We start from the raw sequence: 14,802 nt of genomic DNA, 5'->3' as shown, positions 1-14,802 counted from the left end.
CTGTGCTACTCCTCTTTTCAAAATGTCAGAGGGCTACTTCTCATGGCAGAATCTAATCTGGAAATCTTAGAGCAAGGAATTTTAGGAAATATGCTTGCCACACTAACTTTCTCTGAAAACCAACAGAAGCACAAAGAGAAGTGGGGATAAATGCCAGTTACAAAAACAAGAAAAGAAAACAACAAAACCCCAGCATATATAGCACAGTAGATCAATAAAAGAGAGGTAGTCCTTCCAACAATAGCATGTATGGCTTAGAGAGCTGGGTTGTCATTCCCACTTGAGCCTTGTCATTAAGGTTGCATGAGACACAATTCCCCTGTTCAACCCTCTTGATTTTATAATTAAAATAATTTCCACTCTTACTGATTTGGGGCTGCTCTATTCATAAATAAATGAGAGAATTATAATCTTTCAATGTAATATGGACTTATTGTTTTCTTATAATTTAATCAAATTTATATATTTTAAAGACACCCATTATATACAATTTTAGACTTGCTGAATCGTCCTGGTGAATGAATAGCTTATCAATATGTAATGATTCTATTTATTTCCAATAATACATTTTTTGGTCCTAAAGTCTATTTTATCTGAGATTAAAATGAACAAACAGCTTTTTGTGAATAGTATTTGTCTGGCATATCTGTCTTGTAAATTTGCAATCTTTATTTGTTCTTAAAGGGCATAAACCTAGATTTTGTAAGACTTTTACTCAGTCTGAAAATTTTGTCTTTTACCTGAAAAAATTTTACATTTACCTTGATGACCTATTTGCTTGGATTAACTCCTATCAGATTATTTGTTTCACTTTTTTTATGCTTCTTTTTTTTCTTATTTCCTACATTCTTTTAGAAAGATTGAGTTTCCTTTTTGTTCTTGTCTTCTTAAAATATCTACATTAGTTTGGAAGTTAAACATTCTGCTTCTATTCTTTATGTATTTACCTTGACATGTTAACATACCAATTTAATGATCTCTAGTTTTAAGCAGTAAATTATCCCCTCCCAAATAATACACTTAGATTGTACAATTTTAACATTTTAAGTCCAACGACTTAAAGTCCTTCATAAACTACATACTTTTTTAAGTATTTTAATTCTATCTTTTCTAATCCTCAAAATTAGATATTACTATTGCTGTTGTTATTTACATTTCACGTTGGTTTGGATTTGCCTATATGCTTTCTGTCTCTAATAAAGGATCCAATAAATATGACATCTACAACATCTCAGGTTGTGAACTAATTAAAAGATGGTCAGACAGCTTCCAAGATGGCCGAATAGGAACAGCTCCAGTCTTCAGCTCCCAGTGAGTTTGGTGCAGAAGATGGGTGATTTCTGCATTGCCAACTGAGGTACCTGGTTCATCTCACTGAGACTGGCTGGACAGTGGGTGCAGCCCATGGAGGGTGAGCCAAAGCGGGGCAGGGCATCGTCTCAACTGGGAAGTGCAAGGGGTCAGGGGATTTCCCTTTCCCAGCCAAGGGAAGACTTGAGAGACTGTACTGGGAGGAAAGGTACACTCCTGCCCTAATACTGCACTTTTCCCATGATCTTCACAATCAGCAGACCAGGAGATTCCCTCCGGTGCCTGGCTCAGTGGGTCCCATGCCCACGGAGCCCAGCAAGCTAAGATCCATTGTCTTGGAATTCTCACTGCAAGTGCAGCAGTCTGAGATCATCGTGGGATGCTGGAGCATGGTGGAGGGGAGGGGCGTCTGCCATTGCTGAGGCTTGAGTAGGTGGTTTTATGCTCACAGTGTAAACAAAACTGCAGGGAAGCTTGAACTGGGCGGAGCCCACTGCAGCTCAGCAAGGCTGACTGCCTCTCTAGATTCCACCTCTGTGGGCATATCTGAACAAAATGCAGCAGCCCCAGTCGGGGACTCATAGATAAAACCCTCATCTCCCTTGGATGGAGCACCTGGGAGAAGGGACACCTGTGGGCACAGCTTCTGCAGAATTAAACGTCCCTGCCTGACAGCTCTGAAGAGAGCAGTGGTTCTCCCAGCATGGCGTTCGAGCTCTGATAACAGACAGACAGCCTCCTCAAGTGGGTCCCTTACCCCCATGTAGCCTGACTGGGAAACACTTCCCAGTAGGGGCTGAAAGACACCTCACACAGGAGAGCTCTGGCTGGCATCTGGCAGGTGCCCCTCTGGTACGAAGCTTCCAGAGGAAGGATCGGGCAGCAATATTTGCTGTTCTGCAGCCTCTATTGGTGATACACAGGCAAACAGGGTCTGGAGTGGATCTTCAGCAAACTCCAACAGACCTGCAACTGAGGGGCCTCACTGTTGGAAGGAAAACTAACAAACAAAAAGGAATAGCATTAACATCAACAGAAAGGACATCCACACCAAAACTCCATCCGTACGTCACCAACATCAAAGACCAAAGGTAGATAAAACCATAAAGATGGAGAAAAACCAGAACAGAAAAGCTGAAAATTCCAAAAACCAGAACGCCTCTTTGCTTCCAAAGGATCGCAGCTCCTCGCCAGCAAGGGAACAAAACTGGACGGAGAATGAGTGTGATGAGTTGACAGAAGTAGGCTTCAGAAGATCGGTAATAACAAACATCTCTGAGCTAAAGGAGCATGTTCTAACCCATTGCAAGGCAGCTAAAAACCTTGAAAAAAGGTTAGAAGAACGGCTAACATGAATAAACAGTGTACAAAATAACATAAATGACCTGATAGAGCTGCAAAACACAGCATGAGAACTTCGGGACACACGCACAAGCTTCAGTAGCTGATTTGATCAAGCAGAAGAAAAGATATCAGTGATTAAAGATCAAATTAATGAAATAAAGAGAAAAGACAAGATTAGAGAAAAAAGAGGGAAAAGAAACCAACAAAGCCTCCAAGAAATATGGGACTATGTGAAAAGACCAAATCTACGTTTGATTGGTGTACCTGAAAGCGATGGGGAGAATGGAACCAAGTAGGAAAACACTCTTCAGGATATTTTCCGGGAGAACTTCCCCAAACTAGCAAGGCAGGCCAACATTCAAATTCAGGAAATACAGAGAACACCACAAAGATATTCCTTGAGAAGAGCAACCCCAAGACACATAATTGACAGATTCACCAAGGTTGAAATGAAGGGAAAAATGTTAAGGGCAGCCACTAAGAAAGGTCAGGTTACCCACAAAGAGAAGCCCATCAGACTAACAGTGGATCTCTCAGCAGAAACTGTACAAGCCAGAAGAGAGTGGGGGCCAATATTCAACATTCTTAAAGAAAAGAATTTTCAACCCAGAATTTCATATCCAGCCAAACTAAGCTTCATAAGTGAAGGAGAAATAAAATCCTTTACAGACAAGTAAATGCTGAGAGATTTTGTCACCACCAGGCCTGCCTTACATGAGCTCCTGAAGGAAGCACTAAACATGGAAAGGAAAACTGATACCAGCCACTGCAAAAACATGCCAAATTGTAAAGACCATTGATGCTATGAAGAAACTGTATCAACTAATGGGCAAAATAACCAGCTAGCATTATAATGACAGGATCAAATTCACACATAACAATATTAACCTTAAATGTAAATGGGATAAATGTCCCAATTAAAAGACACAGACTGGCAAATTGGATAAAGAGTCAAGACCCATCAGTGTGCTATATTCAGGAGACCCACCTCACGTGCAAAGACACACATAGGCTCAAAATAAAAAGATGGAGGAAGATTTACCAAGCAAATGGAAAGAAAAAAAAAGCAGAGGTTGCAATCCTAGTCTCTGATAAAACAGACTTTAAACAAACAAAGATCAAAAGAGACAAAGAAGGCCATTACATAATGGTAAAGGGATCAATTCAACAACAAGAGCTAACTACCCTAAATATGTATGCACCCAATACAGGAGCACCTAGATTCATAAAGCAAGTTCTTAGAGACCTACAAATAGACTTAGACTCCCACACAATAATAATGGGAGACTTTAACACCCCACTGTCAATATTAGATCAATGAGACAGAAAATTAACAAGAATATCCAGGACTTAAACTCAGCTCTGGACCAAGTGGACCTAATAGACATCTACAGAACTCTCCACCCCAAATCAACAGAATATACATTAATCTCAGCAACATATTGCACTTACTCTAAAACTGACCACATAATTGGAAGTAAAACACTCCTCAGCAAATGTAAAAGAAGAGAAATCACAACAAACTGTGTCTCAGACCACAGTGCAATCAAATTAGAAATCAGGGTTAAGAAACTCACTCAAAACCATACAACTACATGGAAACTGTACAATCTGCTCCTGAATGATGACTGGGTAAAGGCAGAAATAAATAAGTTCTTTGAAACCAATGAGAACAAAGACACAATGTACCAGAATCTCTGGGACACAGCTAAAGCAATGTTTAGAGGGAAATTTATAGCACTAAAGGCCCACAGGAGAAAGCAGAAAAGATCTAAAATCGACAACCTAACATCACAATTAAAAGAACTAGAGAAGCAATAGCAAATAAATTCAAAAGCCAGCAGAAGACAAGAAATAACTAAGATCAGAGCAGAACTGAAGAGATAGATACACAAGAAATCCTTCAAAAAGTCAATGAATCCAGGAGCTGATTTTTTGAAAAGATCAACAAAATAGACCAACAAATAGCAAGACTAATAAAGAAGAAAAGAGAGAAGAATCAAATAGATGCAATAAAAAATGATAAAGGGGATATCACCACCTATCTCACAGAAATACCAACTACCATCATAGGATACTATAAACACCTCTAGGCAAATAAACTAGAAAATCTAGAAGAAATGGATAAATTCCTGGACACATACAGCCTCCTATGACTCAACCAGGAAGAAGTCGAGTCTCCGAATAGACCAATAATATGTTCTAAAATTGAGACAATAATTAATAGCCTACCAACCAAAAACAGTCCAGGACCACATGGATTCACAGCCAAATTCTACCAGAGGTACAAAGTGGAGCTGGTACCATACCTTCTGAAACTATTCCAAGCAACAGAAAAAAAGAGGGAATCCTCCCTAACTCATCTTATGAGGCCAGCCTCATCCTGATACCAAAGCCTGGCAGAGACACAACAAAGAAAAGAGAATTTTAGGCAAATATCCCTGATGAACATCGATGCAAAAATCCTCAATAAACTACTCACAAACTGAATCCAGCAGCACATCAAAAAGCTTATCCACCATGACCACATCGGCTTCATCTCTGGGATGCAAGTCTGGTTCAACATACACAAATCAATAAACATAATCCATCACATAAACAGAACCAACGACAAAAACAACATGATTATCTCAATATGCAGGAAAGGCCTTCGACAAAATTCAACACCCCTTCATGCTAAACACTCTCAATAAACTAGGTATTGATGGAACATATCTCAAAATAATTAGAGCTGTTTATGACAAAACCACACCCAATATCATACTGAATGGGAAAAAAAATGGAAGCATTTCCTTTGAAAACCAGCACAAGAAAAGGATGTCCTCTCTCACCACTCCTATCCAACATAGTATTGGAAGTTCTGGCCAGAGCAATCAGGCAAGAGAAAGAAATAAAGCATATTCAATTAGGATAAAGAGGAAGTCAAATTGTCTCTGTTTGTAGGTGACATGTTTGTATATTTAGAAAACCCCATTGTCTCATTCCCAAATCTCCTTAAGCTGATAAGCAACTTCAGCAAAGTGTCAGAATACAAAAATCAATGTGCAAAAATCACAAGCATTGCTATACAACAATAACAAACAGAGAGCCAAATCATGAGTGAACTCCCATTCATAATTGCTACATAGAGAATAAAATACCTAAGAATACAACTTACAAGGGATGTGAAGGACCTCTTCAAGGAGAACTACAAACCACTGCTGAAGGACATAAGAGAGGGCACAAACAAATGGAAAAACATTCCATGCTTATGGGTAGGAAGAATCAATATCATGAAAATGGCCATGCTGCCCAAAGTAATTTATAGATTCAATGCTATTCTCATCAAGCTACCACTGACTTTCTTCACAGAACTGGTAAAAACTACCTTATATTTCATATGGAACCAAAAAAGAGCCCGTATAGCCAAGACAATCCTAAGAAAAAGAACAAAGCTGGAGACATCTCGCTACCTGACTTCAAACTATACTACAAGGCTACAGTAACCAAAACAGCCTGGTACTGGTACTAAAATAGATATATAGACCAATGGAACAGAATAGAGGCCTCAGAAATAACACCAAACATCTGAAACCATCTGATCTTTGACGAATCTGACAAAAACAAACAATGGGGAAAGGATTCCCTATTTAATAAATGGTGCTGGGAAAACTGGCTAGTCATATCTAGAAAGCTGAAACTGGACTCCTTCCTTAGACCTTATACAAAAGTTAACTCGAGATGGATTAAAGACTGAAATGTAAGACCTAAAATCATAAAAACCCTAGACGAAAACCTAGGCAATACCATTCAGGACATAGGCATGGGCAAAGACTTCATGACTAAAACACCAAAGCAATGGCAACAAAAGCCAAAATAGACAAATGGGATCTAATTAAACTAAAGAGCTTCTGCCCAGGAAAACAAACTATCATCAGAGTGAGCAGGCAACCTACAGAATGGGAGAAAATTGTTGCCATCTATCCATCTGACAAAGGGCTCATCTCCAGAATCTACAAAGAAACAAATTTCCAAGAAACGAACAAACAACCCCAACAATAAGTGGGATAAGGATATGAACAGACACTTCTCAAAAAAGACATTTATGCAGCCAACAGACATATGAAAAAATGCTCATCATCACTGGTCATTAGAGAAATGAAAATCAAAACCACAGTGAGATACCATCTCACTCCAGTTAGAATGGCGACCATTGAAAAGTCGGGGGTTGGGGGAGTGATAGCATTAGGAGAAATACCTAATGTAAATAACGAGTTGAAGGGTGCAGCAAACCAACATGGCACATGTATACCTATGTAACAAACCTGCAAGTTGTGCACATGTACCCCAGAACTTAAAGTATAATAATAAAAAAATTAAAAAAAAAATGGTCAAGAAAGGTTCAAGCACATGGAAAACAAAATATGACTAATATTTGAAAATATGGCTTAAATCTATTGGCAAGTGGGCTTCATGATACTGAGCCACAGAATGAGACAAATTCACCCACAGGCAGCCATAAATAATGTGAACATCTCTATGTGGGAGTAGCCCCCTGTAAAACATGGATGAAGCAGCAGAGTGGAACGTGTGCTTCCTGCAAGTAATTAGGCATCTGATCACAAACACTATAAAACTAATAAAGAAGACAGTCAGTAAATAGCATCAATACTTTGGTTGTATGTTAAGTACCTTATAATAGTAAGTTTTATAATTGATATCGAAATACTCTGTTCTGTCTGTACTTAAGAATTGAAGCATTTAAATAGAGTTGGAAATTTAACTCTGTCTTCTAACTTAAAAATATTTAGGAAAAGTTGGTGGACAAGCTTATATAATTTTTAATTACTACATTATATTATAAAAGTATTGTTTAAAGTTTTAGATGGATTTTATTACCTAAATTCATAAGTATAATACATTTAGCATTAAATTAAATGATAATAGTAGTAAATTATTTTCACATACAGAAGCCCTTAGAACATTTGAAGATGCTGGCAGCAATTGTATTTGTCAAACATGCCAAACGGTATTGAGCAACATTTACAAGAATGAGCATTGTGTATTCTGCATGTTTTTAATAGGATGGCATTAGAGTTTCACTTTAGGATTTTGCTGTTTGTTAATTTGTTTCATAAATTATTATGTTTAAGATAATGTAAAATAAGCTTCCTTTCAAGGTAATTTTACTTAGAATTTATTTTAGATCTTTCTGCAGAATCTTAACAATGCTCTTTTACCTATTTACATGATTTTTTCTCCTTTAATGTGTGGAAAAGGTGAATTTCCTTGGAAGATTTTCTGATATTGAACTATCTTTGCATTACTCAAATTACCACACTTTTTTATATTGTGTTTTTGTATTGATATTCTGATGAATTTTTCTTGATCATACTGTATTACATAGAGAAATTTTCCTCTGTATTAATAGGTTCAGTCTGAATACAGAGTTTCTGTGCTATCATTACAATATTTTGAATTAAGATTCTTCTCCTTTCATAAAATCAATTTGGGGAAGTTTCTGATTTAGTTAACATCAGAAGTATTTAATTTTTAAAGGGCTGGTAGACCTTAGCTGTGAAACAATCTTGGTGTCTGTCTTGTGTTTATTTTATTTTTAAATTTTAGATAATTACCTTTCCAATTTCTTCTATGATAATTGCTCTTTCACATTTTCTACTTCTTGGAACAATTGAAAGTATATTTCTTGTAGGTTTTCAAATTCCATGCTATTAAGGATTCACATAATTCATATCATTTCTTTCACAGCTATAATTATATCCTTTCCTTTTCAGTTTTTAGACATTTTATATACATGCTTCATAGTTTTTGCTAATTAAAATCACAAGCATTTTTTTCTCAATGTTTTTATTTTCAGCCATTGTTCTTAAGTTATGAAGGCATTTAATACTATACGTTTTCCTCTGATTGAGCTTTTCTGTGTCTTGTAAGTTTTCTCATGGCATGTTTTCATTTCATTGCTGTGTAAATGATTTAGAATTTTAGTTTTGGTACCCTCTTGGATAAAAGGCTATATAAAAGGCTTAATTTTTCAACGAGTAAATTCTTTAGTCATATTTTTACTTTGTGAAATTTTACTAGACTATTATCAAAAAAATCCCCTGCCATGTCTCTTCTCTTTTATAATGTGTTAAGGCTTTCTTTGTGCCAAATACATTGTAGATTTTTGTATAATGTCTAAGGACACATAACACAATTATATTTTCCATTTTAAAGGATTTCAAGATAAATATAAAATAGCCTTAGTGACTGTATTATTTAATTCTGTTTTTACTTTTTGTTAATAAATTTCTCCTATTTAGTATAAAAGACTTCAATTAAAGTGTCCTACTAAAAAAGTGTATTAATCAAATTTTTGTGTTGCTGATGATTTTCACTTTATAAGTTTAGATGTACTGTTTTTGGTCCTAAAAGATTTACGACTGACATACCTTTCTTATAAATTACAGCTCTTGGGATCACATAATCTCTCTTTATTCAGTTTAGTCTTTTTTATTCTTAGATTTCACCCTGTGTAATATTCATAGTAAATCCTTAGGTTTTTTTGTTGTTGTTTTGTTTGTTTGTTTTTGTTTTGCATTTCTTAGTATCTCTTAGGCCATTCCATTATTTTTCAACCGTCTGTGTAGTTCTTATAAACCATACATAACTGTATTTTGACGAGCAACACAATATTATGGTATCCATCTTATATTAGTTGAAATTAGCAGCCTCACATTTAGTACACCCAGTGATGTGCTTTATTTTATTCCTTCTACCTTGATACTTACTGTTTAACATTTTGTTTTTCTTTCTTTTTTGTCTAGGTTTTTAAAATTATAACTATTCCTCTCTCACCTTTACAATATGTAAGTGCTATACATTTTCTTTTCTCTAGCATTTAACTTATTTTCAAATTCTCACATTCAAATACATGATTTTCTATTAATAATAATATACTATTAACTATTTCTTCTCACAAAGTTGCTAAATTTTCTCCCATTTTCCTCTCTCATGCCAAAAGGATGAGAACTTTAAAGCATTTTTTTAAACCCACTTTATCTCATATCCTAGGTTATGCTAAGATAGTTTTGTACTTTTAGTTCAACTTTATTCCCCTGTACTATGTCTTTATATTTTAAGAATCATTTTTTGACTTAACTATATCCCATTACTTATTGTTATCCATTTACAGAGAGGGCTAAAGAGTGAGAGAGAGGGAAAGAAAGGGAGAGACTGATTCTATATGTCTTTGTTTTTTGTATTTCATCTTTTCCAATTTTGAGGAGTCAGATTTGAGTCATGTGTTACTTATTTAGAATTTTTTTTGAGTATGTTCATCATATTGTATGTGTGTGTAAGTGATATATTCTCTATTCACAAATACTTTTCTTTCACTCTAACATGTGAATATCTTGGCTGGGTCTATGACTCTTAACTTATAATCTATTGATCCCTCTTCTTAGTATAATTTTACCTTTTTTCTAACATTCAGTGTAGAATATAAGAGTCCAAGCCAGTTGAATGGTTTTTTTTCTCTTAAATTAACCCATGCTTAATTTCTCTTAAATTAACTCATGTGTTCTGTCTTCTTCTAGAATAAAATTGTTCTCTAAAAACTACAAACTAATGTATTTGGGGTTTGGAGGGCAGATGAGCAAGTGTAGCTTCTTATTTAAATAGACCAGGCATGTTGGTTGTTGGCAAGTGAGAAGATAGGATGTCATCCATGATAATAGGAGGAATAGCCCTTGTCCAACAATTTTGCAGTTTTCTCTGAACATTCTAGTAGCAGGAAGTACAGAGACTGAAATAGTCAAACTGTCCCATATCTATGGATGTCTGGAATAAGTTAAGGGGTCAAGATTGGACAAAAAAAGCAAAAAGACCATGGGAAAAATACAGTTCACAAAACTTTAAATTCTGCAGCTGCTATTCCTGCTATTCGATGTAATGAAAGGAAATATCCCACTCTATAGCAGAAACAAAGAGAAACCTGACCAGAGCAAGAGAGCAAAGGCCTGTTTGGAAGAGTTGGTAGAAGCATTTGATAAGTGTCCTCAGAATTAACATAAAGGTCAAGGAGAATGAGGATAGAGAGAAAAACCTGAGAAACAATTTGAAAAACAATCAATACCTCAGACACACAGAGGAATTTTGAACTCATGAATACCAAGCTGGCAAGCAGGTTTTTGCTGAGAGAATCCTGGAGAGAAAACAGAAGGCCAATACCCTGATGGAGTAAGGGTGGATTTTCTCTTCCATCTGACAAGTAAATATGTTTCATGTATTGTGATATGTGGCTGTCTCTGGAGCTTTGATCAGTTATGAATGTTATTTCATCATATGCATAACCTGTGGGAAAAAAAATCCCATATAAATGATTGGGATTACTGCACTGTGCACTTCACAGCTGTATCCAGTTTATAAATAATTGAGAAAGATTCACCTCCCAGGGGGACTCAATATAGGACACATAAAATAAAATTAAAAGTTAGATCAATGCAGTTCCATCTAGGCTTGTTATAATGTGAAGGCCATTTCATAATGAAGAATACTCAAGAATGACATCTGAAACAATAGTTTCTCAGGTTGATGAGCTCAGTAATGAATCGCTCTGTTATTTCCTTCCAAGACTGATTAAAATAGCACTTGAGTTCCTGAATATACTGAAGTGCTTTTAAATGAAGCAAACAGCTGTCTGGTGAAAAACAAGGCAGGGCACGCATATACAGGGGTTAATGTCTTTACGGTGAAACCAAATCCCCTCAACAAACTCATGAATGAAGGTATTTCTTTCATATGGAAGAATTCTGATTTTGGAAGGAAGGCTTCTCTTGAAGTAGGGGGACCGTTGCAACTTTATTCAAACTGGATCAATCTTAGGAATCCATTTACTAATTTTATTTGCATTCTCATGAATAAGGTCTGCTAGGGTCTATGTCCTACCAATTACTCAAGAATTACTTACTAAGAACCTACTGTGTGAAAGTTTTAGACCTGGTTGGTGAATAAAACTGAATCAGATCTAACTCTCACTAGAAAGAGCACCCAGTTAGATGATACTTAATATTCATTACCCAGAAAAACATGTTATATTGTGATGTATTTCATTGTACCTATGTAATATGTATGTAATGTGTAAGAAATGTGTAAAATATTGTAAAAGTTTATTTTTGTTGTCTTTTGCTTTTTAAGTTGGAGTCAGATTAAAATACAGTATTTGAGAATGGGATATTTAACCAGATTTTTTTTTAAGTAAGATCTACTTATGCAAGAATAGATAGTACAGGGAAAAAATCCAGGGATCAGAGGAATAAAGAAATGAATAATAGTGGAATTATAAAACTTGAAAAGAACACAAGGGAACATCTGTTTCTAGTGATGTGTAAAATATGTTGACCCAAAATAATCTCTCTTCTCTGAAATTTTGTACTATTTTATTAACATTTATAATACATTGCCTTATTTTGTATATACTTGCATGTATCCGTGAGCCCTTGATGGGAATCATGTGAGTCTTTATATTCCCACAGAAAGTGCTTAGTATGTAGTTGGACAGAAAAAAATGTTTGTCCAGGTCAGAATAAGTTTGTGGAAGAGAATGGTCCTAGAAATGATGGGTATGAGACATCTTCTCTCATTACTTTTTGTTCTTCTTTCACATTATAATAACAAGATTTGATCTCTGTATCTCTTCATTCTCCTTAGTTTCTTTTATGCATTTTATTACAGTACTTAAAAATGCACATCTCATTACTTTCTTCAATTTTCATGTGACATGACATCATTTCCTTCATGCCCCTCATTAGATTATTTAACGTGCTCATCTCATTACACCTTCCCATCTTGCATCTCATTACAAAACCCTTAAACATGCACATCTCATTACATAGTCCTTACATATCTCATTACACAATTCCGTTTTTGTATCTCATTGTCATTTCATTTCTGTATCTTATTACATTAAAACCTAGTTCCCATTATATCTTACATATTTTGAAAATTTATATACTCTCCCGTCCTTCCTTTATGCATCTAATTATCCTGCTTCTCCTTTATGTGACCAGCTCATTACACTTTTTCTTTCACCCATCTCATTTCAGCCCTGAAGGATGCCCATCTTACAGGACACTTCCTGAGTCATGGCTCATTAAACCAGCTCACGAAGTCACCTCATTACAGCGTTTTAACACATACATCTTATTACATAGAACTCTTCATGAATCTCATTACAATCCTGGAACATACACATATTACTATCCTGTTCTATCTTATGCATCTTGTCACAGCATCACAACTACACATCTCATTAAAATATTTATTATTTTAACATATCCCTTTATTATATGTTCCTCACAGTTTCTTTTCACTAATATTTCAGTATTTCATTACATTTTCACATTTCTGTGTTTAAAAAGAATGACTATATATTTTAAAAGGGAGTTTTCTTAAATTGTGTTTCATACATCTTTAAATTGTTTTGTTATTATACTGATGCTTCTCAAACTGGTGCCCTGGGATGTTATTAGATATGAAGTAAAAAAACAAGTTCAAATAAGTCTGGGTTAGTAAAAAATTTTGTAAGTTTACATGGTTACTAAAAATTAATCAAATAAAAAACTTGCATTCTTAGCTTAGGAATTCTCAAAGCCTTTTTTACTCTATTGACAATTATAAATATTCATGAAGGAGGCCCAGCCTGTAGTATTTCTCAAATCAATCTGCCACACATTTTATTTACAGCCTACACATTAAATACACCCAGAACTTGTGTCCCATGGGGCACAGGTTAAGAAAGGCTTGATTGTAATATTTTATATATATAGAGAGAGACACATATATTCACATCTGTATACAGTTATATATTTACCACCACGTATTTTACCTGCAGCTCTGCATCACTTCCTAGAACTAATGATACTTCCATGAGTGATTCATTGACCTCATATAGTTGTTCTCAGACTTTGGTGGGTAGCAGAGTCACCTGAAGAACTTGGTAAAAATACAAAGACCCTGGCCTCACCCTATTTCAGCAAGCCTGGGCTTTTGTGTGCTGAATCAGCTCTCCAAGTGATCCTGATATACATCAAAGTTTGGGAACACTGCCTTACTGAGTACTTACTGTATCATACTCTACATAAGAATACATGAAGACAAACAGATATATAAGAAGACATGGGCCCTGACTATGAAATCATAACAATTCAATTATAGTGGCTACTTTCTCCTTAGCCACTAGACAAAGACATGCAGGTAATTTCTCCCAGTGAGTCGAGCTTCTTATCTAAGTGCTAGCAATATATGGAAGTTGTTTACATGATGGTTGGAAGACAAGCTTGGCATTGAACAGACCTGGATTTGAATCCCTTTCCCACCAATATCTAATGATCTTGAAGAAGGACATAATACCTCTCTGAGCATCAATTTCTTCCACTGTAAAATGGTGTGATAATACTTCCTCATAATATTATATTTAGGAATGAATAATCATGGAAAACAGAAAAGTTTTACCACAATCTCTTGCACAGAAGAAGTAGCCATTATCAATAAGTTTATTTTGACCCTTATATGTCACGCTAAGACCAATGATTGTGAAGCTACTACTGTGTATCAACTGATTCCCAGTGCACAGAAATACAGGATTAAATAAAGACACATAAATTGAGTGCCATGGTGCATTCCTGTAATCCCAGCTACTCTAGAGGCTGATGTAGAAGGAATGCTTGAGCTCAGCCATTCAACACCAGTTTAGGCAACAACATAGAGAGACCTATCTAAAAATAAATAAATACATAAATAAATAAGACACATAATCTCCCTGTATGATCAAAAAGAGAGATTGTACCTAAGCGCCACAAGTTTGTCCATGTTCTAGGAACCTTGTCAAATCTTAGCATATATGGTAGATTATGATCCTGTCATATGATAGAAAACCAGAAGTTACACAATCATACATGCATTAATGTGGTAGTGACCTAGAGGATAGAAAACCTTAGTGCATGTCTTCAATGATCTTATACAACTAATAAGAATGATCTTATACAACTAATGGTCTTGATTTCTTACCACCTGTGCAAATGATACTACTAATCCTTGTGTTGACTACCTCAGCAAACAATTGTAGTCATCACGTGAGATCATCCATATGGAAATATATTATACAAA

The 14,802-nt window shown here is 35.5% G+C and overlaps 2 annotated features.

Moving 5' to 3' along the window:
• Positions 1,120–1,619: an enhancer, noted in NCBI's record as "H3K4me1 hESC enhancer chr14:26055189-26055688 (GRCh37/hg19 assembly coordinates)". NCBI's record gives its function as "activates a minimal SCP1, AML or CMV promoter by ChIP-STARR-seq in naive H9 embryonic stem cells {active_cell/tissue: H9 hESC(naive)}" and the evidence as "EXISTENCE:reporter gene assay evidence [ECO:0000049][PMID:30033119]".
• Positions 1,620–2,121: an enhancer, noted in NCBI's record as "H3K4me1 hESC enhancer chr14:26054687-26055188 (GRCh37/hg19 assembly coordinates)". NCBI's record gives its function as "activates a minimal SCP1, AML or CMV promoter by ChIP-STARR-seq in naive H9 embryonic stem cells {active_cell/tissue: H9 hESC(naive)}" and the evidence as "EXISTENCE:reporter gene assay evidence [ECO:0000049][PMID:30033119]".

This window comes from Homo sapiens, chromosome 14 (assembly GCF_000001405.40).
Source record: "Homo sapiens chromosome 14, GRCh38.p14 Primary Assembly".
NCBI lineage: Eukaryota > Metazoa > Chordata > Mammalia > Primates > Hominidae > Homo > Homo sapiens.
Note: the sequence above shows the minus strand (reverse complement) of the source record. Positions and strands in the feature narration are given on the sequence as shown.